The sequence below is a fragment of the Homo sapiens genome, chromosome 17 (assembly GCF_000001405.40).
Source record: "Homo sapiens chromosome 17, GRCh38.p14 Primary Assembly".
In the NCBI taxonomy this organism is placed as follows: domain Eukaryota; kingdom Metazoa; phylum Chordata; class Mammalia; order Primates; family Hominidae; genus Homo; species Homo sapiens.
This window is the reverse complement of record NC_000017.11, coordinates 14996332-15021501: the sequence shown is the minus strand read 5'-3', so window position 1 is coordinate 15021501 and position 25170 is coordinate 14996332. Positions and strand designations below refer to the sequence as shown.

The 25170-nt window shown below is 41.6% G+C and overlaps 1 long non-coding RNA gene across 1 annotated transcript in view; it reads right to left on the bottom strand.

The window, feature by feature from the left end:
- Positions 1–6697, bottom strand: part of LOC101928475 (uncharacterized) — a 37472-nt gene extending 30775 nt beyond the window's left edge. The window contains exon 1 of the long non-coding RNA NR_135638.1: positions 6644–6697. This is a non-coding gene — a long non-coding RNA (uncharacterized LOC101928475). The remainder of the gene's footprint in view (positions 1–6643) is intronic.
- Between the last annotated feature and the right edge of the window lie 18473 nt (positions 6698–25170).

The window sequence follows — 25170 nt, the reverse complement described above, 5'->3', positions numbered from 1 at the left end:
CCGAGACTCAAGGGCCCCAAGTGACAATGGCCCCAGGCTATGTCCTGCTGTCCCTCCAGCCCGCCCTCAAAACTCAGTGAGAATGTAGCATCTATAAACAGGTAATGAGATGGAGTACGGACTCCCACTTGGGCCTGTGGAACCCCCAACCGTGGAAATAAGGGAAAATCTTGAGTTCCTCCAAGGGAAATTCTAGACACCTAGCCAGCCCTGAGAAGCAAATGAGCAACTCGATTAAGCAAGAAGGTAACAGTGGCTTTAAAACAACAGCCAAGGAAGTTAGAGTCAGGAGATGTTTGGTTCCCTACAGAAACTAAAGATAACACTTTTTTTCTTTTATTTTAGGTTCAAGAGGTACACGTGCAGGTTTGTTACATGGGTGAATTGTGTGCTGCACGGGTTTGGTGTACAGATAATTTTGTCACCCAGATAATCAGCATAGCACCCAGGAGGTAGTTTTTCATTCCTCACCATCCTCCACCCTCAATAGGCCCCAGGGTCTACTGTTCCCTTCTTTGTGTCCACGTGTACTCAGTTTGTAGCTCCCACTTAAAAGTGAGAAAATGCTCTATTTGGTTTTCTGTTCCTATGTTAATCCACTTAGGATAATGGCCTCCAGCTCCATCTATGTGGCTGCAGTAAGGACATGATTTATGACTGTGTAGTATTCCATGGTGTGTATGTACCATATTTTCTCTATCCAGTCCATCACTGATGGACATAAAGATAACATCTCTTCTTTTATTTATTTATTTATTTATTATTATTATTATTTTTTGAGATGGAGTCTCACTATGTCACCCAGGCTGGAGTGGAGTGGTGAGATCTCAGGTCACTGCAACCTCAGCCACCCAGGTTCAAGTTATTTTCCTGCCTCAGCCTTCTGAGTAGCTAGGATTACAGGTGTACGCCACCACATCTGGCTATTTTTTTTTTTTTGTATTTTTAGTAGAGACAGGGTTTCACCATGTTGATCAGGTTGGTCTCGAACTCCTCAGCCTCAAATGAACTGCCCACATTGGCCTCCCAAAGTACTGGGATTACAGGTGTGAGCCACAGTGCCCGACCAAGATTACATCTTAACATATGTCCCTGAGTTGTTTTCTAGAAACCTAGACCCCCTCCAAATGGATCCCCTGGTGCATACACCCCAGGTAAGAAGGAACTGAGGACTGAACTCCGGACTGCCATTCTTTGTTCTAAATTTTTTCCCGAGAGGCCTGGAGGAGGTCATGCTTACAGGTTCAGACCTAACATCTTTTCTGCTGACCTCAAGTCTTCAGACAAAGTTTCACTTCCTTAATCAATTACAAATCAGAAAATCTTTGAATCTACCTGTGACCTATAAGCCCCTGATTGAAGATGTCTTGAATTTTTAGGTCAAATTAATGGATCGCCTCCATGTATTGGCTTATGACTCTGCCTGTAACCTCTGCTTCCCCACCTTAAAAACCCTTACATGTGGCCGGGCGCAGTGTCTCACCCCTGTAATCCCAGCATTTTGGGAGGCTGAAGCGGACAGATCATGAGGTCAGGAGATCGAGACCATCCTGGCTAACATGGCGAAACCCCGTCTCTACTAAAAATACAAAAAAAATCAGCTGGGTATGGTGGCGGGTGCCTGTAGTCCCAGCTACTTGGGAGGCTGAGGCAGGAGAACCGCTTGAACCCGGGAGGCGGAGGTTGCAGTGAGCCTAGATCCCGCCACTGCACTCCAGCCTGGGTGACAGAGAGAGACTGTGTCTCAAAAAACACCCTTACATTTAAGCCACTGGGGAATTCTTTTCTCAAGAATGAGCTGCCGGTTTCTCCTTGGTTGATTCCCTGCAGTAAACGCCTCACTTTCTCTCGCTGCAGATCTCAATGTCAGTGTTTGGCTTTTCTGCACTGAGCAGGCAGACCTAAATTCAGCTCAGTAATAGTATCAGTAGATTTATGTGTAGAAGAAGGCACACCTGTAACGCTAGAGAAGTGGGGCCCCCAAACAAAAACCTGTTCCATTAAAACTCCACGTTCATATTGGGCAGCCATTGAATAGACAGTGGATTCTGTGATATAACTTACTGAACCCATGAGAACATCAACAAGCATTAGGTGATGGGTTGGAGAGAGGGAATTTGCATATGGTCTTTCGAGAGTACTCTGAGGTATATTTTGAGTTCAGTCTTTGCAATTAGCTCTGTCTGGATTCAGTTCCTAACTCCATCACTTACCAGTGGGTGACTCAGGGTTAGACACATCTTTTCTGAGCCATGGAGATAATAAAAATGACCTGTTTTGTCAAGATGTAGTAAGGATTACATGCACTGAGAGGTATAGCACAATATCTAGTATATCATAAGCACATTTTCTAGTATATTTGGTAAATGTCAGGCCAATCTTCTTCTGTAGCCAAAGTGATCTCAAAATTTAAATGTGAGCATATCATTCTTCTACTCAAAACTGCCCCTATGGTCTCCCATTGCAATTGGAATGTGACCCAAAGTCCTTATCATGGTTTACAAGTCTTTATATGTCTGGTTCTTATGTTAGTTTGCAATCTAATTTTTTGTCAGTTTCCTTGTGTTTATTTTTCTGACCACATTGACTTCCTTTATATTCCTCAAATGTCCCAGCAGTTTCTGCAGCCATGAAAATGTCCCAAGATTTCCCCACAGGGTGTTATCCTCTACCTTCCTCCATCACCTGCCATTTGCAGAAGGTTTAATGAACCCCATTCCTATGGGTTTGCTGCTTGCTGGTGCTCTACTCCAGCACCAACTATGCAATTACTGTTAGACCACATTTTTCTTTCTAAAGGTTCCCGTATAATTTCCTTATAAACAAAGTACCTTGTTCATGTCCCGGTTTTGAGTCTCCCGAGTCTCCCAGGCACTGATCTTGTCTAGCACCCCACGGATGTTTTTACTCAGACTGAAAACTGAGCCACGTGTGGGATTCAAAACTCTGGCTCCTAACTCTCAAAGGGCTCACAAAGAACATTTCTCAGAGCCCCAGAGTCCATCTCCTTCTGAATACTTGATAATTTTCATTCTTGAATGCATTCCACACTTACTCACGTAAAACCCTTTGCAGAGCCCCACAATTGAAACATTTACGTGGCATGCATGATAGGCATCCTGACCAGCCATCCTGATCACATGCAAAGACCTCGCTGGTCTCCATGAATCATGGTTTTCCCTAAATGACAGAAAGACACTCTTTTCATCTGATTGCCTGGATGGGGCATGGCTCAGAAAATTGGTCTTGGTAATCCACAGACTAGACCTAGCTCCTGTAGAATTACATATGTTTTATGGTATCTGTAGTAACATGTCTGAGACACAAAAATAGGATCATTGACATTGGGGCACTTTTAGGATCTTGTGATAACTTTAGAATTTCTGATTTCCCTTCCTTTCTCTATCAGCGTGGGCCTATGTTTTCAGCTGCATTTCTGGAGGCACAAGGATTCCAGTGCAAGAAGTTTATCTGGGAGGTGATTCCAAGAAACATCAGTAAAGAGTGGGGATATAAGGCAGGGAAGGAAATGAAGCAGATACACACCACACACAACTGAGGCCTTCCTGCTGGGGAACTCTCAGTGGCAGTGTGGAAGATTCCTCCGAGGTTTCAACTCTGGTCAGTTATTGCTTGAGGGCGGTGGGGAGCTGCTAACTCCTTGGCACTTCCAGCTTTCTGGGCAGGTTCAGATAACTAGAGAAAGCGCTCAAAGAGACATAGGTGTTCATGGTTGGAAGCTGTCAGATTGATGTGTGCAGAAATGGTGACAGCTAAGATGATACAAGGGGGAAGAGTACCAACAGCGTTAACAGCAACTACTACAGCGTACCAGGAAATCATTGCCATCTTCCTGGCCATCATGATCTATGTTCAAAACTAACAAGGAATGCAGTGTAAAAAAATGACAGAAAACAGACCTTCTCTGCTCTAGGACCAGAGTTCACTCACCTTTGATGTCCTTTGCTCCCTCTGGATGCTGTCTCTGATTCCCTCTGACACATTAGTCTTTGGACATCGTGAGATTAAAACTATGATACCTGGGATTTGATTTCCTCCCTACCTGGTGATGCCATCCTTAACTTTTCTTCTGGTGTTCACACTGATTGCTGCCTGGCAGAGCTAAATTAATACTGTTGGCTAGAATGATAACTATCTATTATGCACCCAGAGAATTAGTCTTTTAAAGAAAAAACAACTCCCTTGAATGGTTAATTCAACGGCTCTTCAAGTGAGTATGAACCTCTACATTTATCAGATTTTTTTCTAATTATAAATCTGCCTAAATAAATATGTATTTTTTTTCTCCAGGAGTTGGAGGTCTGATTGAGCAGGTATTTTCCAGAAATAATATTCGCTAGAAGAAGCAGATTTCATGAGACAGAGAGAGAGGGGGAAAGAAAGAGAAAGAGAGAAAGAAAGAGAGAGAGATCAAAAGGCCATTGGAGGCCGGGCGCGGTGGTTCACGTCTGTAATCCCAGCACTTTGGGAGGCTGAGGCAGGCGGATCACGAAGTCAGGAGATCGAGACCATCCTGGCTAACACAATGAAACCCCGTCTCTACTAAAAATACAAAAAATTAGCCGGGCGTGGTGGTGGGCGCCTGCAGTCCCAGCTACTTGGGAGGCTGAGGCAGGAGAATGGCACAAACCCGGGAGGCGAAGCTTGCAGTGAGCCGAGATCGCGCCACTGCACTCCAGACTGGGAGACAGAGCAAGACTCTGTCTCAAAAAAAACAAAAACAAAAAACAAAAATGGCCAATGGAAAGGCCAAGAAAGCACATGATTTTAACTTTGGCTGTTTTACAACCAAAGGAAGAGGGTCAAAGAGAGTGAAACCTCTTCCTTTCTGAAAGTTCTGATTGAAACTTGAATTCTAAAATAGTCTTTGGCTTGAGGGATTGAACTGCACCATCTTTCCGTATAAATGGCATGGGAAGACACATTTTTATGCGTTGTTTTATGGGTTTTCTTCGCATCTTCAATGTCTAACGATTTTATAGTGCTTGGCTTTTCAGGGCCCTTGAGATAATCTCCCGAGCAATACTGGCTCTTTTATTTGTAACACAGGAATAGTTAAGAAAGTGCCTGCACACCAATGACAAATTATTGCAATCTTAACTAGAAATAAGGTAGTAAAGATTGCTCAGACTAAAAACTTTAAAGAAGGTTAGAATACAGAGAGGGAGAGAAATCTTCCAAATAGAATAATGAAGTTAATTGGTACAAATGAGTGTGTTTTACCATACTTGAAGATCAATTGCATTTTGTAAACTGTAAAGTTCTTTTCTCCTCCCACCAATTTGGTGGTAGGTTTTTTTTTTTTTTTGTTGTTGTTTTTTTTTTTTAAATCCCTTGATTCTAAGAGTTTGGAATGCATCTTTAAAAGTGTACATTTTGGGGCTGAGAGCGGTGGCTCACGCCTGTAATCCCAGCACTTTGGGAGGCCGATGCAGGTGGTTCACGAGGTCAGGAGATTGAAACCATCCTGCCTAACACGGTGAAACCCTGTCTCTACTAAAAATGCAAAAAATTAGCAGGGCGTGGTGGCGGGCGCCTGTAGTCCCAGCTACTCGGGAGGCTGAGGGAGGAGAATGGTGTGAACCTGGGAAGTGGAGCTTGCAGTGAGCCGTGATCGCGCCACTGCACTCCAGCCTGGGTGAGAGAGCAAGACTCCGTCTCAAACAAAAACAAAAACAAAACAAAACAAAAAAACAGTGTACACTTTGAGGAGTTACAGCCCCATTGTATAAGATTTTATCTATAGAGCTGTTTATTTGGTATAAAATTTATTATAAGTGAGATGTAATTTGCAGATCATAAAACACTGTATTTTTTCAATCTGTCCTTGTGTGTTACTATTTATTTACTAAAATCTATTTCCAATTTTTAATGATTAAGTTTAAAGGCATTTTGATATTTACTTGAAGAAGTTATCTTAAAGATTCCATTTTTCCTCTTTCTCAGTCTTATTCCAATAATTATGAAAGGCAACTTAAGGTGATGGTGAAGAACACAGGCTTTGGTTTCAGATGGATTTTGATCTAAGTCCTGGCTTCAGCCATTACTAATTGTATGACCTGAGATAATTATTTAACTTTGTTCTGACTTTCTTTTCTTACCTATAAAAGGGGAATACTTTGACAATACTTAGTTTATAAGTGTAATATTATGAGAATTCAATGATAGAATTATATAATTAACATTATGGTAATACGATACAATTAACACAGCATGATATAATAGAATTTTGGAGCATTAAAGCATTTAAACTGTTAGAAAACAATATAACTAATTAGCAAAAACATTTTACACTAATGGATTTGATCAGATGTCAAACTAAATGATATATTACTACAGCACAAGAGGTCAGCGAGGGAAATTAGTATAGAAGAGATAGCTCAGTCTCTGATTCTGGGCTTTGCATTTGAATACCCATTTACATATTTCTTTAAGAAAAAGTGATTTCCACCAAGATGCATTGGCCTGTGTAAAGGTCTCTAGGCAGCATAGAGCTCTTGGCAAGAATATTCTCACCCAAATATTTTATATGTAAGATAGTGAAATAAAAAGTTTAAAATATGCCTATAAAAGTTGAAAGTTAATGTTTTAAAATTCTCTCTTGGATTTTTTTTTTTCTTACCAGAATCCTTTTCTTAGCCCAGCAAGGAGATGGAAAGGGAGTAGGTGGAACACTGAGAAAGTTTCACCATGGTTTGCTTCTTAGGTCATAAGTACATGACTTGGGGCTGGCTCAGACCTCACCTTTAAGTTTTGTTGGTTCATTAAGACTTATTTCCACATCATAGAAACTTAGAACTTGGAACACAGAATTTATGTGAGAAAATATCAAAGTAGATTTTTTTTTTTTTCTGAGATGTAGTCTCACTCTGTCGCCCAGGCTGGAGTGCAGTGGCGCGATCTTGGCTCACTGCAACCTCCACCTCCCAGGCTCAAGTGATTCCCCTGCCTCAGCCTCCCGAGTAGCTGGGATTACAGGCCCATGCCACCACGCCTGGCTAATTTTTGAATTTTAGTAGAGACGGGTTTCACCATGTTGGCCAGGCTGGTCTTGAACTCCTGACCTCAAGTGATCCATCCGCTTCAGCCTCCCAAAGTGCTAAGATTATAGGCATGAGCCACCGTGTCCAGCCCCAAAGTAGATGTTATCTAATATATTGTTTTTCCCAAAATAGTCCTCAGAAATATCCCAAGAGAATCCCCCTTTTCCACTCTCTGATCTCATACATTTCCTGTGTTCAAATAAATCCCCTCTTGAAACTTCATCGTGCACATTAATATCTTAAAAGTTCTGAGGAGTCCTAAAATAAAGAAACCAGTATGATTCACTTTCTTTAACTCAATGAGTATTTCCCAAACTTCTGTGTCCATGGCACCCTTTTTTTTTTCCAGTGACAGCTGACATTCATGGCATCAGTGTTTCATGCAGTAGATTTCAGGCTACCCCGGGGTAATTCATCATGCCTGCAGAACCATGTCCGTTCTGGTCCAGTGTCCATTATCCCTGGTCTCGGCGGCCTAGGCACATACGCATAGCAATTTCAGGAACCCAGTGATGCAACCTGCCATTTGTAAGTCACAACTTTTAGATTCAGGCCCCTGTGAACTCAAAGCTTCAGCAGGTGTTTGAGATGCAAAGAAACATGAGATCATGGCTGTATTAGGGTTCTCTAGAGGGACAGAAGTAGTTGGACGAATGTATATATGAAGGGGAGTTTATTAGGAGAATTGACTCACATGATCACAAGCTGAAGTCCTATGATAGGCTGTCTGCAAGCTGAGGGACAAGGAAGCCAGTTTGAGTCCCAAACCTCAAAAGTAGGGAAGCTGACAGTGCAGCCTTCAGTCTGTGGCCAAAGGCCTGAGAGCCCCTGGGAAATCACTAGTGTAAGTCCACAAGTCCAAAAGCTGAAGAACTTGGAGTTTGATGTTCAAGGGCAGGAAGCATCCAGCACGGGAGAAAGACGGAGGCCGAAAGACTCAGCAAGTCTGTTCTTCCATCTTCTCCTGCTTGCTTTATACTAGCTGCACTGGCAGCTGATTAGAGGGTGCTCACCCAGACTGAGGGTGGTTCTGGCTCTCCCAGTCCACTGGCTCAAATGTTAATCTCCTTTGGCAACACCCTCACAGACACACCCAGGAATCATACTTTGCATCCTTCAGTCCAGTCAAGTTGATACTCAATATTAACCATCACAGTGACCTTCACCTGGGCTGGGGGGTCAGGGTGGCTAAGTTGAGCCTTTGTAAAGAGGTGACTGTGGAAGAGCCCAGTAGAATTCATGCACTTGTCCCAGCTGCTACATTTTCTTCTACAGAGGCTAGGGAAATTAGCACCACTGGTATTTTCTATCTCTAAAATTTGTTTCCATGTATAAAAAGAAAAAAACACCAATAATTAAAAGAGAATGATAAGATGTTTGTGTTTGTGAGAAAGGAAAAAAAATGGGCTACTCAGGTATTAATAAAAGTGAATCTTCTCCAAATACTCTACCTATTTCTCAAGGGACTGTTTCCTTGCAAATATTGAAAATGAGAAATACAAGAAAAATCTATTTATTCCAAAGAGGAGTGCAAGAATGGGTAGAGAAGAGCCAATATATTTCCAGAGTTTTTCTTTCTGTTTCATTTTTGGGATGGACTAAGACTTGGCAATTTTTCTTCCCACGTTTCCTGGATTTTCTTCAGGAATGGAAACCATTTGTGATCATAGGAAGAAATGTTCTTGCTGACACATGGGCGTTCTTTGCTGTGTAGGCTCCAAGATTTTTAATGACAGCCATGTAAATCCCTAGTTCCCAGTGAGTGTTTGCATGGCCCCGGGCAGCTGTGTTTGCAAACACCTGCTGGGGGAATAGATAAAATTTTGCTGCCTTTTCTGGCCCAGGATGATGGATGTTTCCCTCTGTGTGGTCACAGAGTGGGAAGGCTCCCATGGAGCTGTAAAGGAAGAGCTCCCTTAACCACATAAAATAGGGCAGAGTAAGGCATGGATGGAGAGGAACTTTCTCTAGAGCAGTGGTTCTCAAAGTGTGGCCCTGCATCGGCACCATCAGCTTCGCCTGGGAACTTGTCAGAAAAGCAATTCCTAGGGTTCCTTCCAACTCTCGGAATCAGAAACTCCTGGGGTGGAGCCCAGCAGTCTGTGTTTTGACAAGTCCTAGCCCTCTGGATGATTTGGATGCTGCTAACATTCGAGAACCACTGTCTGAAAGGAAAATAATCTGCTCAGAGGGGAAAGAGCATTACTGGGCATTCTTCAGATACTACTGTGGTATTTCCTCTGCAGTATAGTCTCATTTTGATCCCTTTGCCATTAAGTCCAGCTTAAGGATTATAGTAGTACCTATACTTTTTTTTTTTTTTTTTAAACGGAGTCTTGCTCTGTCGCTCAGGCTGGAGTGCAGTGGCGCGATCTTGGCTCACTGCAACCTTCGCCTTCTGGGTTCAAGCAATTCTCCTGCCTCAGCCTCCCGAGTAGCTGGCACTACAGGCATGTGCTGCCACACCCAGCTAACTTTTTGTATTTTTAGTAGAGATGGGGTTTCACTGTGTTAGCCAGGACGTTCTTGATCTCCTGACCTCATGATCCACCTGCCTTGGCCTCCTAAAGTGCTGGGATTACAGGCGTGAACCACTGCATGGGGCCAGTAGTACCTATTCTTACCTACACAAAGATGGCTAAGAAGCCCTTTCTGTACTTTCCTGAGTATAGGTGAGTCTGGCTGACATTTCTAACACAGTGATGCTTAACTTTGGCTGCATATTGTGATCACACGGAAGAAACTTACAAAAATCCAAATATCCAAAGCCACATCACAGATGGGTTAAAGTCTGAGAGGAGGAGGGATGAGACTTGGGTATCAGTGTTTTTAAGCCTCCCCACTGGGATGATTCCAATGTGTAGTCAAAGTTGGCTCTAAAAGGAAAGGGTCATTGAGGCTAAGGGAAACAAAAGACTACGACGTGTACGTAGGCAAGATTGCTAAGCACTGGATTTCAAGCCTGAAAATTTTAGGGCTTACCTAAGTCCCACATCCTGTTTCCTGATTCTGGTGCATCTCTGCAGGCACCTTTCTTCACCTCTTCCCATTCTATTCTTTTGCAGACCACAGCTCCTGCGAGCCATCTGATTTCCTGGCTTCCAAGAGCAAGTCTAGGCAGGCGTCAGATTTTACTTTATTTTTTAAATATTTAATTAATTAATTAATTTATTTATTTATTATTTTTGGAGCCATAGTCTCACTCTGTCGCCCAGGCTGGAGTGGAGTGATGCAACCTCAGCTCACTGCAACCTCCACTTCCCAGGTTCAAACAATTCTCCTGCCTCAGCCTCCCAAGTAGCTGGGACTACAGGCGCACACCACCATACCCGGCTAACTTTTTTGTATTTAGTAGAGACAGAGTTTCACCGTGTTGCCCAGGCTGGTCTCAAACTCCTGAGCTCAGGCAATCTGCCCGTCTTGGCCTCCCAAAGTGCTAGGATTACAGGTGTGAGCCATCGTGCCCGGCCGACATCGGGTTTTATAATAAGACATCATCTTCACACTACCTTTGGCTCTTAGGTGCCAAGTACAAAGAGGCAATTTTGATGGAGGCTGCTCTTTGGGCCACTGGTCTCATGTTATCCTATCTCTATTCTCCCCCCTCACTTACCTTCCTGTGCCCTGACAGGAGCTGTTCATGCTGTCTGGGGCAGTGATTACAGCACGGTGCCACAGTCCACTGTGTCTGCTTCTCCAGGTCCTTTGGGTCCTGAGACATCCACATTTGGTCTTTGTACCAGTCAGAGGCCTCCAGAGAACCAAAACCAATAGAATACATATAAATAAATTCGTTATAAGATATTGGCTTCTGCGCTTATGGAGGCTAAGTGGTCTCACTACCTGCCCTCCGCCACCTGGAGTCCCAGGGCCAGCAGTGTAGTTGGAAGGCTTGAGAACTGATGGTGGAGATTCCAGTCTGAGTTTAAGGACCTGAGAACCAGGAGAGCTAAGGGCAGAAGAAGATCAATATTCCAGTTCAGTCAGGCAGGGAGACAGGGTGAATCCTCTCTTCCTCCAACCGTTTGCTCTATAATGTCCACCCACATTAGGGAGGGCAAACTGCTTGACTCAGTCTACTGATTCAAATGCTAATAATCTCTCAGGAAAACACCCTCACAGACACACTCAGAAATAATGTTTAGCCAGATATCCCAGCATCCTGTGATCTGGCGGAGTTGACACATAAAACTGATGATCAGTCTTTTTGGGTAAAGGATGAAGCATGGGGCAACCTGGGGTTTGGAGGGTGGTAGATTACCTAAGGTTTGGGAAGATTAGTAATCGACAGAGTGTTTGTTCTTTGACGTTGGTGGGGTTACAGGGTGTAGAGGAGGTGGGCAGTGTCACTAAACATCCTGGTGTTTGCAAACAGCTTTAAATTGGAAATGTGTGGGTGTGTGCATGTGTATTCACAGGTGTGTTGGGGCTGAAACCACATGGAATTGAGAAAACTATCTTTGATAATGTAGATTACAGACATAGAAGGTGAAAAAAGATCCATTTACAATTTAGATAGTGAGGGACAGACTAATGACAGCTCTTTTGACTTCTTACATCTGGGTTTTGTGGCTCACAATTTTTATCTATGTCATTAATATGTGTCCATTTCTATGTGGTGGTCCAAATATCCAGAAAGAGTTTAAGAGTGAACTAACAGAGGAGAGAAGTACACCAGGGATGACCAGAGGCAGGAAGTCATTAACAGCTCTATGTGCAAAGGGGCAAAGTGAGAGAGCTGCTGTAAAAGGGAAGGACCCACATCACAGATACGTGGCCATGGGCAGAGGCACACAGCCATTGCACACCACGGCCCAGCAGGGAATAAATGCTCTGACCTCAAGTGTTTGTTGCACATTCAGTTGTCAAACTTGTCTCCCCCAGGACTCAGCAATTCCTTACCTTAGCTTCCTGGTAGATTTTTCAGAACCACCAAAGTTTTGCCTAGCAACTGCCAGAATTTCCAATGATCAACTTAAAGGAGAAAGAAAACACTTAGTACAAATTGAATTAGCCCCCTTTTTCTCTTTCCCAAACCAAATGCGAAATGCTCACAAATCAATGTATTGCATTGATACAGCAATTTACTCCCTGACCCACAATTCTACCCCCATTTGGAGCTTAAAGCAGAAACCTGGCAAATTTCGTTATCTCTGATTTATACGTGGGAAAAGGCCTATTCAGTGACGTGAGTCCACATTTATTGCTGGTCTATAGGCTTGTTTAGTTCCTCCTGTGAGGGTGTTTAGAGGAATTGCGTGGAGCTTTGTTTGTTATCAAAACGAAAGCCAGGGTCTGTCTCTCCAGCTGTCTAATGACAAGGGAAAAGATGTCAGGGCATCCTCATTTTACAAATTACCTATGAACAATTCCTACTAGGGTAATTTTATTCGTTTTGAGACATTTAGCTGCCACTAATCCAATAAGGATATACTTCCAGGATTCTAGGGTTAGAGGCAGCAGGTGAAGAAACAAGTAGACATTAATACTTTGTAAGCTGTGAACAGAAAAGATATCTTTTTGCTCTGAACACAGAAGCTGGGTGAGAGACAGGCAGAAAAGCTTCCTGGCACTACTGTATGTGTCTGCAGAGAATTTTTGTCCCACTTGGCTCAAAGATACGTGAAGGATGAGGCTAAGATTTGAGTCTAAGGATGAAAAAAAGGCTCTAAATGTGGGTATAGGAAAAGGGACCCCAATCAAACATCTTCAGATACACCCTACTTGCTCTTTGACAAGACAGCTGCTTCTAGTAATGGGTTTCGTTGGAAGTATCCTTGTTTTTTTCTCCTACTAGCCAACAGGAATTAGAATTAATCATAAATAAAAAGTAATGCTGCTAAAACTTACAAGGTCAAGTTTTTTATTCCTTCGATAAATGAACACATTTAAAGTGAGCCATATCATCAGGCAATTAAGTGTAGAGAAGAAATTATATTTATATGAACTTAAAGATGGTGTTAGGTTATAAGATCATGGAGTTCATAATAAGATAACAGAATTGAGGAACTGAGAATTGACCTTGATCTACCCTCTGGTTTAATAAATGAGGATACCTGATGCATTCAAACTATAAATGATTAGCCAAGAGTGCCACAGGAGTCAAAAAACCAAGGCTCCATCCCAGATTTTTTTGTTTGAGGGGTAAATGATGAAGTCTGGATCTTCTGGTCTGAAATGGTGCCTTATGCCAAGAGAGGAATCTCATGAAAATCAAATCAGAGATGAATCATTAGGCATGGCCAGCACCAGGGCCTCAAAGAGTGCTTTCAAGACTCTGCTGCTCTCTGTCACTTCTAGTGTTCTCTGTATTGGCTTTGCCCTCAAGGTGGCCTTCTATCCATGGTACCAAAGATAGGCCCAGCTAATTTAAGGTTCCTTTCCAAGTGGCTCAGGAGCCCTTTTCCAATAATTCTGCAAAAGGCTCAGGGGATTGCAGATTGCAGTTGGAGCAGGTTGTACGTCCAATCTTGGAGCACAGGTGTAGAGTCAGCTCTCTCAAACCCCACAGACTGGGAATGGGAGAAAGACAGTGCATGACTCAAAGACAGGCTCAGCAGATTGGGCCACATGTACCCTTTTCTTGGGTGGGACACCCATGACTTTGGACTTTTATATCCCTTTTCATATTCATACCTGAACCCAAGAGAAGGCAAGAGCAACAAAGCCACACATTTTTAGAAATGCGTTCTTTGTTGTTTGAAGAACTCTCCCAATTTTTGTAACATTCTCAGACTTCAGACTTGGCACACACTCAAATTCATGTCAGTTTTCTGAAATAACTTTTCCAGTCACATGACCACGATTTTAAGTCTTAGCAATTTCCTTTAGGAGAACATTTGTGTTGATTTAGCACCATTGCTGAGAATTCCTGTGCCCCATGTCTGCACCCCTTGACTCCAGGTAGCAGCCCAGAAAAGGCTAAAAGGCTCTTTGGAAACACCTGTTAGGGAGCCGCGCACCTGCTTTCTGATGACCTCACTCTTGGCCATCCAGGCATCCAAGGACGACGGCTAACAGTTCATAAATCTAACCCACTCACCATTCCTCAGCTCACACGTTGGATCAGAAGGCTCCTTTTCACTTTTCTTTCCACCCAAAGTTTCTGGCAATGGAAAACTTTGATGTTTTCTGAGAGCCTGGGAAACTTGGATCGCATGCTATTAGCAGCTGTACTTTATAGTTGTAATGGCTGTGGAGGACTTATTTCTAAGTGTTGAGAAATGTATTGTCACCCAGATATTCAACGAGGGCTACAGAGAGATGTTGTGAATTAAAACACAAAGGGCAAACCACAGGAAAACGTAATATTTGGATATCTTACTTACGGGAATTATTTAGAGCCAAAGAAACTAAAATACAAAGTCCCTGGCTCTTCCAGATTATATTAAATTCCTCCATCCCTAAGGTCAAAAGCTTTTCATTGGAGAATGAGACATGAATAATACTATCAAGGGGTAAGCTGGTGGCAGGCTAGAGACAATCCTTTTTGGAGGTCCCCACGCAGCTGAGCACAGGGTGTGGACATACAGCTCTATGCCCGGAGGCGAATTAAATTCCCTTTGTAAAAATTAAGACTCTTGGGTGTGACCCCAGCATTATTGAATCAAATCTCCAGGGAAGGAGTTTTAAACATTTCCAGGTTTTAAGCAGAGGCTTAGATTGCCTAATTCAAGGGGAGAGCAAAGCTTTGCAACTAGCTCCAAACAACCGCAGGTTTACTCTCTGGGGCTGGCACCTTTCCTATGGAACCCCCTTGAGACGCAGCCTGTTTCCATCCACTGCTGTCACTAGTTTCAGCTCCATCAAGTGCCCATGTTCTGGAGGATCAGGATCAGGGACTCTTGTTTCTCCAAGGTGCTGCCTGGTCTCGTCTCTTCGCTGCTGGACTTTGTAGGGGCTTCAGGCTAGTCTCCCGGCGCCTTACCACCCTACCCCTATCCCCGCCCTGGGAGGAGTGCTATGGGTGTGGTCAGGGCCAGGACATTTTACTGGAGCTGAAGGCCTGGTCCATCTTGTTCCCCTGACTTCCCTTCTTTAGTTTGGATCCTAGGTAGTAGACATTGAGAAACACCCTATAACCTCTAGGTTATATTATAGAGCATCCTTATAATACAGCATCCCTCTATAATAGGTGACCCTATTACAGAGCATCCCTATAACCTCTAGGGATTCTCTGGACCCAAGACTTTTGTCCTTTGTTCCCTATGCCAGGAATGTTCTTCCCCATATCTACATGGCCTGCTGTTTCAGCTCCTTCAAGTCTTTGCTCAGACGTTGCCTTTCAGGGAGGTCCATGCTTACTACCTTATTTAAAGTGGCTAACTACATTTCTCAATCTCCCTTATCATGCTTATTTGTTTTTCCATAACCTGTGTCACCATCTAATGCAAAATATAATATACATACAATATATAATATACATATACATATTTGTTATGTTTATCGTTGATTTTTCACACCCAACAGAATGTAAGCTCTACAAAAGGAAGGGTTTTAGGTAATTGTTGTATTGGCTGATATAGTCACAGAGCCTAGAACCGTTTGTGGTATTCAGTAAATATTTGTTGAGGAAATGAATGAATGAATGAGTAAGTGAAAGTCTGAGCCAGACTTCTGGGGGAAGGCCTAGTCCTGTTTTTCTCTTTTTTTTTTCACGTTCGGATGCTCTTCCTTCTCTAATATGCCCATGTAAGCTGAGACTGGAAGCAAGTCGGCTCCCACTCCACCCTGTCCCAAGGAAGCACACGCTGGGTGCCTATTCTGCCACTGGTGTGAGCTTTGTGGTCTCCACTGCTCACTCTCACACTCTCACTCTCACACACACTCTGCTTTTCAGGGCACACATGCCTACCCTTTCTTCTTGGCCTCTTACACTGACCTCACTTAGCTAAAAGCTCTCTCCAAGGGGCCAGCCCAGTTCACTTGATTCCATACGGGGCACTGGGTCAAAGTTCCAGCGAATATGTACTTCATTTTCATGTTCCTGCAGATCTACTGGGGAAGGATAGTCCCTGCTCTGTGGCTTGCTAATGTTTAGATCTCTCCTTTTAAATGCACCTGGACATTATTTGTTATCTCAGCATCCCAGAGGTGACCCAATCCAGCCTTACTGTTTGGGGCAGGGCTCAGGCTGTACAACCTGGCACACTTCTGTACCTGGGGACAAATTCTTGTTTCAGTGTGAAAGCTTCAACCTTCCCCCTCATGGATGATCTGGAAGCCCTAGGAGGCCTGACTGAGCACTGCTTCACTTCTTGTTATTCTCTTTCCTCTTGCTATTCTCCCTTTCTCTGGGCCTCTACGTATCTTGTAGTCCCTGTCAATGGAAGGAGTGGAAATTTTTGCAATGCCATGTGATATTGGCTGGAAATTCTATATAGCCTGTTTGGTTAATATTCTCACTAGGTCTCAGAGCCACTGTGAACTTCTGATTTCATGGTATTCCCAGCCAAAGAGTCGTCATCTTCATTGTGGTCAGCATCACCTAAAATTGCCTGGCCATTTGTCTTCTGGGCACTGTTTTTTATTTCATACACATGTGGTCTTTTTAATTTTTATTCCTCACAACTTTATGAAGTAGGTTCTGTTTTTTTTTTTTTTTTTTTTTTTGAGACGGAGTTTCACTCTTGTCGCCCACGCTGGAGGGCAATGGCGCGATCTCGGCTCACTGCAACTTCCGCCTCCTGGGTTCAAGTGATTCTCCTGCTTCAACCTCCTGAGTAGCCGGGATTACAGGTGTGTGCCACCACGCCTGGCTAAGTTTTGTATTTTTAGTAGAGGTGGGATTTTTCCATGTTGGCCAGGCTTGTCTTGAACTCTTGACCTCAGGTGATCCACCCGCCTCGGCCTCCCAAAGTGCTGGGATTACAGGCGTGAGCCACTGCGCCTGGCATAGGTTCTGTTTTTACTCACGTTTACCAGATGAAGAGAGTGAGGCTCAGAGTAAGTCAGTCACTTGCTGGAGCTTGCAAGATTATAAATACCAAAACCTGAACTCAGAGTTAGGTTTTGTTTGATGCCTAAGCACAAGCTCTTTCCCCACTATGCAGTGGACCAGGAAGGGATCAAACGTGTGTCCAAATGGGGGAGAATGCCCAAGGCTGAGCATGATTAAGTGTTGCATTGATCATCCTCTAGCTCTATGATTTGTTTATCTTCTAGTCTAGCTGTCTAGGACTTCAACATAATGTAGAGCTCGCTGAAATTGCTGGTGTCTCAGAGATTTGGGGACAAAGCCCATTCGTGTCAGGTGGTGGCCAGCTCACCAATTTGAACACAGTTTACATGTGTCCCAATGAAAGCAACAGTTGGGCTGTGGCCAGTCAGTAGTCTGGGTTGTTTCAATAGCTTTATTAACTTGAATTTTATCCCATGGAACCAATAGTAAGTGCCTACTATGTGCCCATCATTGTACCTCCCTAAGTTGCTGTGCCTGAAAATTAGGTCACTGTCACAGGATGAATACCGTGCCTGGCTGTGGGTACATGGACCACTTCTGCACACTTTCTTCAATCATAGCATGCTGGGGGGGCAGATGTTTCCCTAAATGGGCTTTGTGGAACACACACTATTTCCAGAACATTTTAATAGTTATTACAAGGACACACATTTTCTCTGTCAAATAAGTTTCAGAGAACTTGAGTTAAAATTCAAACTTGGAAGTTTTTTCTGCTGAAAGACTTCTCAAAGTCCCTACCATGTGAATGTGAATGGTATATTCAATGAAGAGTAAAGAATGTAACAGTTTCCCAAACATTATTGACTGTACATTGTCCCAAACATTTCCCCCTATGAATTATTACATTATACCTGTGCTCTGTGGAACTCATTTTGAGAAATACTGATTCAAATACAATGTACTCTCCATTAAAATAACAAGCAAAACAAAATAATATATAGATACTAAAACTATTTTCCATGTAACTTTCCTTTGCCCAAATGCCTATTTTAGTTGGTGGTGAACTAGAGGTTACAGAAGTGTGCTGCCTACATGTCTTTGCTCTGATAATTTGTTTCTAACCAAGAGGTTTTCTTGCTATGAAATCAATATGCCCTGCTTTCAGCCCTTGCCTAAGGAAATTAGCATTGTAAAATCACTTACAATTATTCTCTAACTCATCTACCAGGCTTCTAATCAAAGCACGTTTCTAAAATGGTTTATACATTGTTTTCCTTTTATGAAAAACTTTAAACTGAATACAACTAGGTGTTTATGAATGGTTTCTATGAGGCCTAATAATTTCTGAACACTGTTTACAAAGCTGATTAAAGCTACTTCATTTTTTCTGGAATTCCAGAACCCACGTTAAACTAAGAGAATGACAAGAACAAAAAAGGAACCACACTCAACCACATCGAGGGCTGAATATTTTATTTCAAACTCCATGAATGTTTAATTAAAGAAGTCATTGACAAGATACTGCTCATTTTAAAAATTTCAATGCAATTGAATTTTTAGTTCAGTTCTGTCATCTCTGTTGGGTTTTTATCTTTGGAATTCCGGACCAAAACATATTCCTTTTGGTTAACAAGACTTTCCTTTAATGGATGATAAGGCCAAGTGATTAATAATCACTCGGCTCTTATTATTTTCATTAGGATGATAACATATGGACATGCTGCTCAACTTCATCACAGAGCCCCCAAATGGAATCATAAAAGGGGAGATGAGAAATTCTGGTTTAGATTACAGCAAATAGCTTGAGGAATTGGCCCTGATGAGCTACAATTTACTGTTGTAAAATCTCACAGAGATGAGCCTTCTGCCATTTCCTCTCTCGTGTTTGAGATTAGTTGGAAAGGGTGCTGGGGGATCATAATCTCTCTGTTTTTAGCAGTCTTGATTCCAGTGACGTTAGTTATAAATGAGATGGGTGTGTGGGTGGGCCTCACCAAATTCCCAACAAGCACTTAACCGTAGCCTCAAATCCAATACACATTTGTCTTTATTAAACCCCACTGGTTCAGCCAAAGCTGAAAGAGATATTGGTGGAGTCAGTAAGAGGGACTGAAAGGAACAGGGGAGGTGCAGATGTACAAGGAATGGAGTGATCAGAGATAAGGAAGTTACCCATGCAGAGAAATGAAGCTTTGAGGTACCGACTGCATTGCGCCAAAGAAAGAGGTGAAGGAGCAGGGAGATTCTGGTTAGTAAATATAAAGCCTGGCTTTTAAACAAAATCAGCAACAATGGAGGGCAGGTTGACGCAGGTATGGGGAAGAAAATTTGTATTTGTTGAGCAACTATGATTGCCAGACCCTAGGCTAGGCTCTCAGACATGCTGCCTCGTTGATTTTACAACAAAGGACAATAGAAATAATCATTAACCAAATAGATCTGGTTTCAAAATCAGAGGATAATGAAAGTAATATGTACTCCATGGGGCTGCTGTGAGAAAATAAAACAATGCATATTAAAAAAAAAAAAGTTAAACAACTTAGGGGAATGCTGGATGCATAGTATATGAGTTCCTTTTGTACTGGTATAAAGGAATACCTGAGACTGGGTAATTTATAAAGAAAAGAGGTTTATTTGGCTCATGATTCTGCAGGCTGTACAAGAAGCATGGCACCCGCATCTTCTTCTGATGAGGGCTTCCGGGAGCTTTTGATCATGGCGGAAAGGGAAGGGGAAGAGGTGTGTCTTATGGTGAGAGAGGGAGCAACGAGAGGGGAGGAGGTTTCAGGCTTTTTTAAACAACCAGCTCTCATGGAAACTAAGAGAGAGAGAACTCACTCCGTACCGCCGGGACAGCACCAAGCCATTCATGAGGGATCAGCCTACATGGCTCAACACCTCCCACAAGGCCCCGCTTCCAACACTGGAGATCAAACTTCAACATGCGATTTGGAGGGGAAAAATATTCAAACCATACCACATGGTAAACAATAAATGCCAGTCTCTCCCACCCCCCACCCACCCCCCGAGTTACCTACCAAACCAAACAACAACTTTAAAAAGCCCTGTGAGAATGAAGTATTGTTGGTCCATTTCACAGACTGAGCATGTGAGTGTTTTCAGCGGTCTGCCTGTGTCCATCTCTCTCTCACTTTCTCCACTTCCAGTCTGTCTGTCCAAACTGACTTTACTACCCCACTTTGCCAAAGCAGCATCTTCTCCTGACTTTTGCATTGTATTAAATATCATTTTTCCTGTTTTCAGATTCAAAACCATACAATCATACCTGGGTTTCCTATACACTTTAGGCCCCATTCAACAGACATAATTAATGTCCTATTAATTCAAGAATGGCAGACAGTATTTCCTAGGTGTGTCCCCTCCTTTCCATTCCTATTGTCACTACACTCCTTCAGGTCCCCAATGTTTTTTGCTGCGCCAGTTGTAGGTTCAGTCTTTAACGAGTGTGTGGCTCTCACTGTGTTCTATCATATTGCCTTGCCTGAGGCTAATTTCCAACTTTTTGACCTACAAATATATTCTGCTTGATAATGTCTCACCTCTACTCATTGCACATATGGTCTCTAACTGGATCCCTGGTGTCCCACCTCCTCTCACTACTGCTTACCCCCACATATTGAGGTATTTGACATCATTTTTCAGTTACAGCTTTATTGAGATATCACTCACTATATGATTCACCTCTAAATGATTCACCTCTAAACTATATGATTCACACCTAAAGTGTACAATTCAATGTTTTTTGTGTATGTTCACAGACTTGTGCAGTCATCACTATAATCAATTATGGAGCATTTTAAACACTTTGTAAAGAAACCCCATACTCTTTAAGTATCACCAAACTTCTGATTCCCCCATCTCTAGGAAACCACTAACCTGATTTCTATCTCTACAGGTTTGCCTATTTTGGACATTTTCTATAAATCGAATTACATAATATATGGTCTTTTGGCTGGCTTCTTTCACTTCACATAATAATTTCAAGGTATATCCATATTATGGCATGTATCAGTACCTCATTCTTTTTTGTAGCCTAATAATATTCCATGGTATGGTAGACCACATTTTATTTATTCATTCATTAGTTGATGGGCATTTCGGTTGCTTCCACCTTTTAAATATTGTGAATAACACTGCTATAAACATTCATGTACAAATTTTTATTCGTATACATGTTTTCAGTTCTTTTGGGTATATCCCAAGGAGTGGAATTGTTGGGTCATATGGTAACTCTGTTTAACCATTTGAGGAACTGCAAGTCTGTTTTCTAAAACGTCTGCACCATTTTATGCTCCTACCAGTCGTGTATGAGGGTTCTAATTTCCTCATCAATACTTGTTATCACCTTACTTTTTGATGACAGTCATTCTAGTGGGTGTAAAGTAGTATCTCATTGTAGTTGATTTTCATTTTCCTGAAGACCAATGATGGCAAATATTTTTGCATGTGCTTGTTGGACATTTGTATATATTTTTGGAAAAAAATGTTTATTTAGACACTTTACCTGTATTTAATTGGCTGAATCTTTTATTATTGAGTTTTAATTATTCATATTTTAGATATGAATCTCATCATATAAATCATTTGAAAATAATTTCTTCTATTCTGTGGGATTTTGTTTTTACTTTCTTGACAGTGCCCTTTGAATCATAAAGTTTTAATTTCGATCAAGTTTAATATATCTATTTTTTTCTTTTGTTGCTTGTGCTGTTGGTGTCATATCTGAGAATCCATTGTTAAATCTAAGGTCACAGAGATTTACAAAAGGTCACAAAAATTATGTTTTTTTCCTAATAAATGTATAGTTTTGGCTATTGCTTTTAGGCCTTTGATCCATTTTGAGTTAATTTTTGTATATGGTGTGAGGTAAGAACATTTTTAAAGTCTCAGCTTATATGCCATCTCTCCATTAAGTCTTTTATGAAACCACTAATTAAACATTGAAAGGGGTGATAATAATGATGATAACACCAGCCACCATCAATAAAGTACCTTTTTTTGAGATTACCACTAGTTTCTTTCCCTTATTTTATCTAATTCTCACAATTCTGTAAAACAGTTGCTCAAAAAAAAAAAAAAAACAAAAAACAAAACCTAACTAAAAGAATGTTTGCTAATGTAGTGTCTTTTTCCCTATATTATAAATTTGGAAGTTTAAATAGCTTGTTCAGGTTAGTGGCAGATCTGGGATTCAAACTAGGTCTTTCTCTACTTTCTCCTCTCCTATGCTGTCTCCTGAATGATACTTCCCTTGTTCCTCTCTTGAGCCCTAATGTGACTTTACATGTGCTCCTCACACTTAGGACCCACCACATTCTTCCTTGAATTACAATGTTTTTGTATCTGAGTTATCTTCTCTCCTGAACTAAAGGGTCCTTGAGAACAGAAATACATTCATTTTGCAAGTTGTACAGCCACAATCACAGTGCATAAAAGACAGTTGATAAATACCTGTTGAGTTGAGCAGCAATTCAACTGAACAGTAAATTCAGCAGTTTACTAAAATCAGAGCCTGGAGTTTCACCATAATTACCATTAGGTGATCAATGGGAACAAAAATAAGGTATCTTCATCTTCAATAATAATCTAAAAATGATATTGCTGTTTGAGCAATAAATAGCATAATAATGGATCAAAGCAGAAATATTGAAGGTATAATTGCTCCAAGTAAGCATGGTTTGACTTTAACCTGGAAGAATACATTATATAGCCAAAGAAGTAAGAAATGTTTGCATCCCTCAGAAAGATACTTATTTGGGTCATTGAAACATAGATGATTATTCTGGTTATGTATCGTTGTGTATGTAAAAAAAACTACCCCAAACCTGTGTGGTATAAAATGTTTATTATTATTTCTCATGGTTCTATGCATTGATTGGGTTTGGCTGGTTTCTCATTTGATGACGCTTACATGGTTGCAGACAAATATCAGATGAAGCTGCACTCAACTGAAGGTCCAACTGAGTTGAATGGCCAAGAAGTCCAACTCAAAGGCTGGCAGTTGATGCCAGATGAGAATTCAGCCGAGGTTGAGGACAGGCACACATACACATGGCATTTCCATGTGGCACGGGCTCCTTATATCACGGTGGATGTTTTACAGGAGTGAGCAATCCAAGAGACTCAGGTGGAAACTGCAAAGCTTCTTATGACTCAGCCTGGGAAGTCACAGAAATCCTGCTTCTACTGCATTCTGTGGGTTAAGCAAGTCACTAAGGCCAAGGACAGGGGAATTAGCATTCACCTCTTTACTGAAGAAGCAGCAGGCATATATAGGAATGGTCTGAATTGATAAAGGCCACTTTGGAGAGCACTACCACAAAATCGGAGAGTAAAAGATGTCAAATTGGCAGAATGCATCCAAGAATGAGTGTTTTCTGGATTAGGGGCATGGCTACCTATTCCAGTGGCTGAGGACTATCCCCTCGTTATGTTTGAGAAATTTTTATTCACAACTTTTATAGATTCAAGCTTATCCAGCTGCAAAAGATGCATCATAAAGACCCAGACGCTGCCAAGTGGTAATGCAAATATAAGCAAACACAGAGTAAAGCAAACAGGCTTAAATGGACTTATTAATATGCAATTTCCAATTAATATGCAATTTCAATTATTGTAGTATCTTCAGGTAAACAAGACCTTTAATGGGCCTACCACAGAGTGAAACTCTGTCCTTCTGGCCCTCCAGTCCTGCTGGACTCTCATGCTCCATCAGTCTCACATTCCGAGCTGTTCTGACCGTTACCCTTGACTCTCATATGTTTTAATTTCTTCCCCTGGTTCTGTATCTCCACCCAGGCCCTGTGTTTGAACTGTAAACGTATTTTCCTTCCAAGAAATCCATCTGATTTTTATTATTCACCCTTTCAACATCTTGCACCATAGCAATTACTTTCCTGATGTCACTTCATTCTTAGAATATTGAGTATTGAAACCTTGAAAAAAAAAAGTACCTATTTTAATCATGGGTTTCAGTACACTTTAAGAGCAACTGATGAGAAAAAGGTGTGTCTGGATATTACTCTACAAGGGATGTTTTACCTCTGAGCTGGGACATTGAGGGCATGATGACTCCTAACCAATGTCTTGTGAAGTGGACACCAAGACATGATCTGTGTAACGTGATGAAACTAAAGGCAAGAAAAAGAAGACAGGAGAAGCATAGTCTGCTTTACTCTCAAGGCAGAAGAGTGAAGGGCCTTATAATACATGGTATTTTTAAGCCGGGTGCAGTGGCTTATGCCTGTAATCCCAGCACTTTGGGAGGCCAAGACGGGCAGATCACGAGATCAGGAGATCGAGACTCCTGGCTAACACGGTGAAACCCCATCTCTATTAAAAATACAAAAAATTAGCCGGGCTTGGTGGCGGGTGCCTGTAGTCTCAACTACTTGGGAGGCTGAGGCAGGAGAATGGCGTGAACCCAGGAGGCGGAGCTTGCAGTGAGCTGAGATCACGCCACTGCACTCCAGCCTGGGCGACTGAGTGAGACTCCATCTCAAAGAAATAAAAAAAGAAAATACTACTACTACTACTACTACTACTACTAATAATAATAATAATACATGGTATTTTAAGCCTGCATTAAAACTGTGGGGATTAGAAATCAAGAAATGTCAGAGTAATAAAATTGATATTGTCTATGCATTAAGAAATCAGCAGGCAACTTTAGATTTTAAAAGGCTATTAAATACAGTGTATGTCAAAATATAAGATATGGTCAAGGCAGCAGTAACCACAGGAAGATGCATAGTTTTAAATGAATGAATTATATATATATATATATATATACACACACATATATATATACACACATATATATATATACACAAATGAATGTAAATAAATATTCAACTCAAGATGGTAGAAAAATAACTTCAATAAGGAGACTGGAGGAAGGTAAGCAGAAATTAATACATTTCACATAGAAAAAACTGCATAACATAATTCTAAGAACTGGCTTCTCTGAAAACAATAATGAGATAGACAGCTCTAGAAAGATTAATCAAGGAAAAAAGAATAAGGGTAAATTAAGACTGAGAAAAGGAATTTATATATGTAGAAGATTCTAAGGAAAGAATAATGTATTTTCCAAATTTATTTTCCAGTCTTTGTTAATCATTTCAAAAAGCTGGAAGATATGGGCAACTTACAAAGACTTCAAATCTTATTAAAGGAAAATAA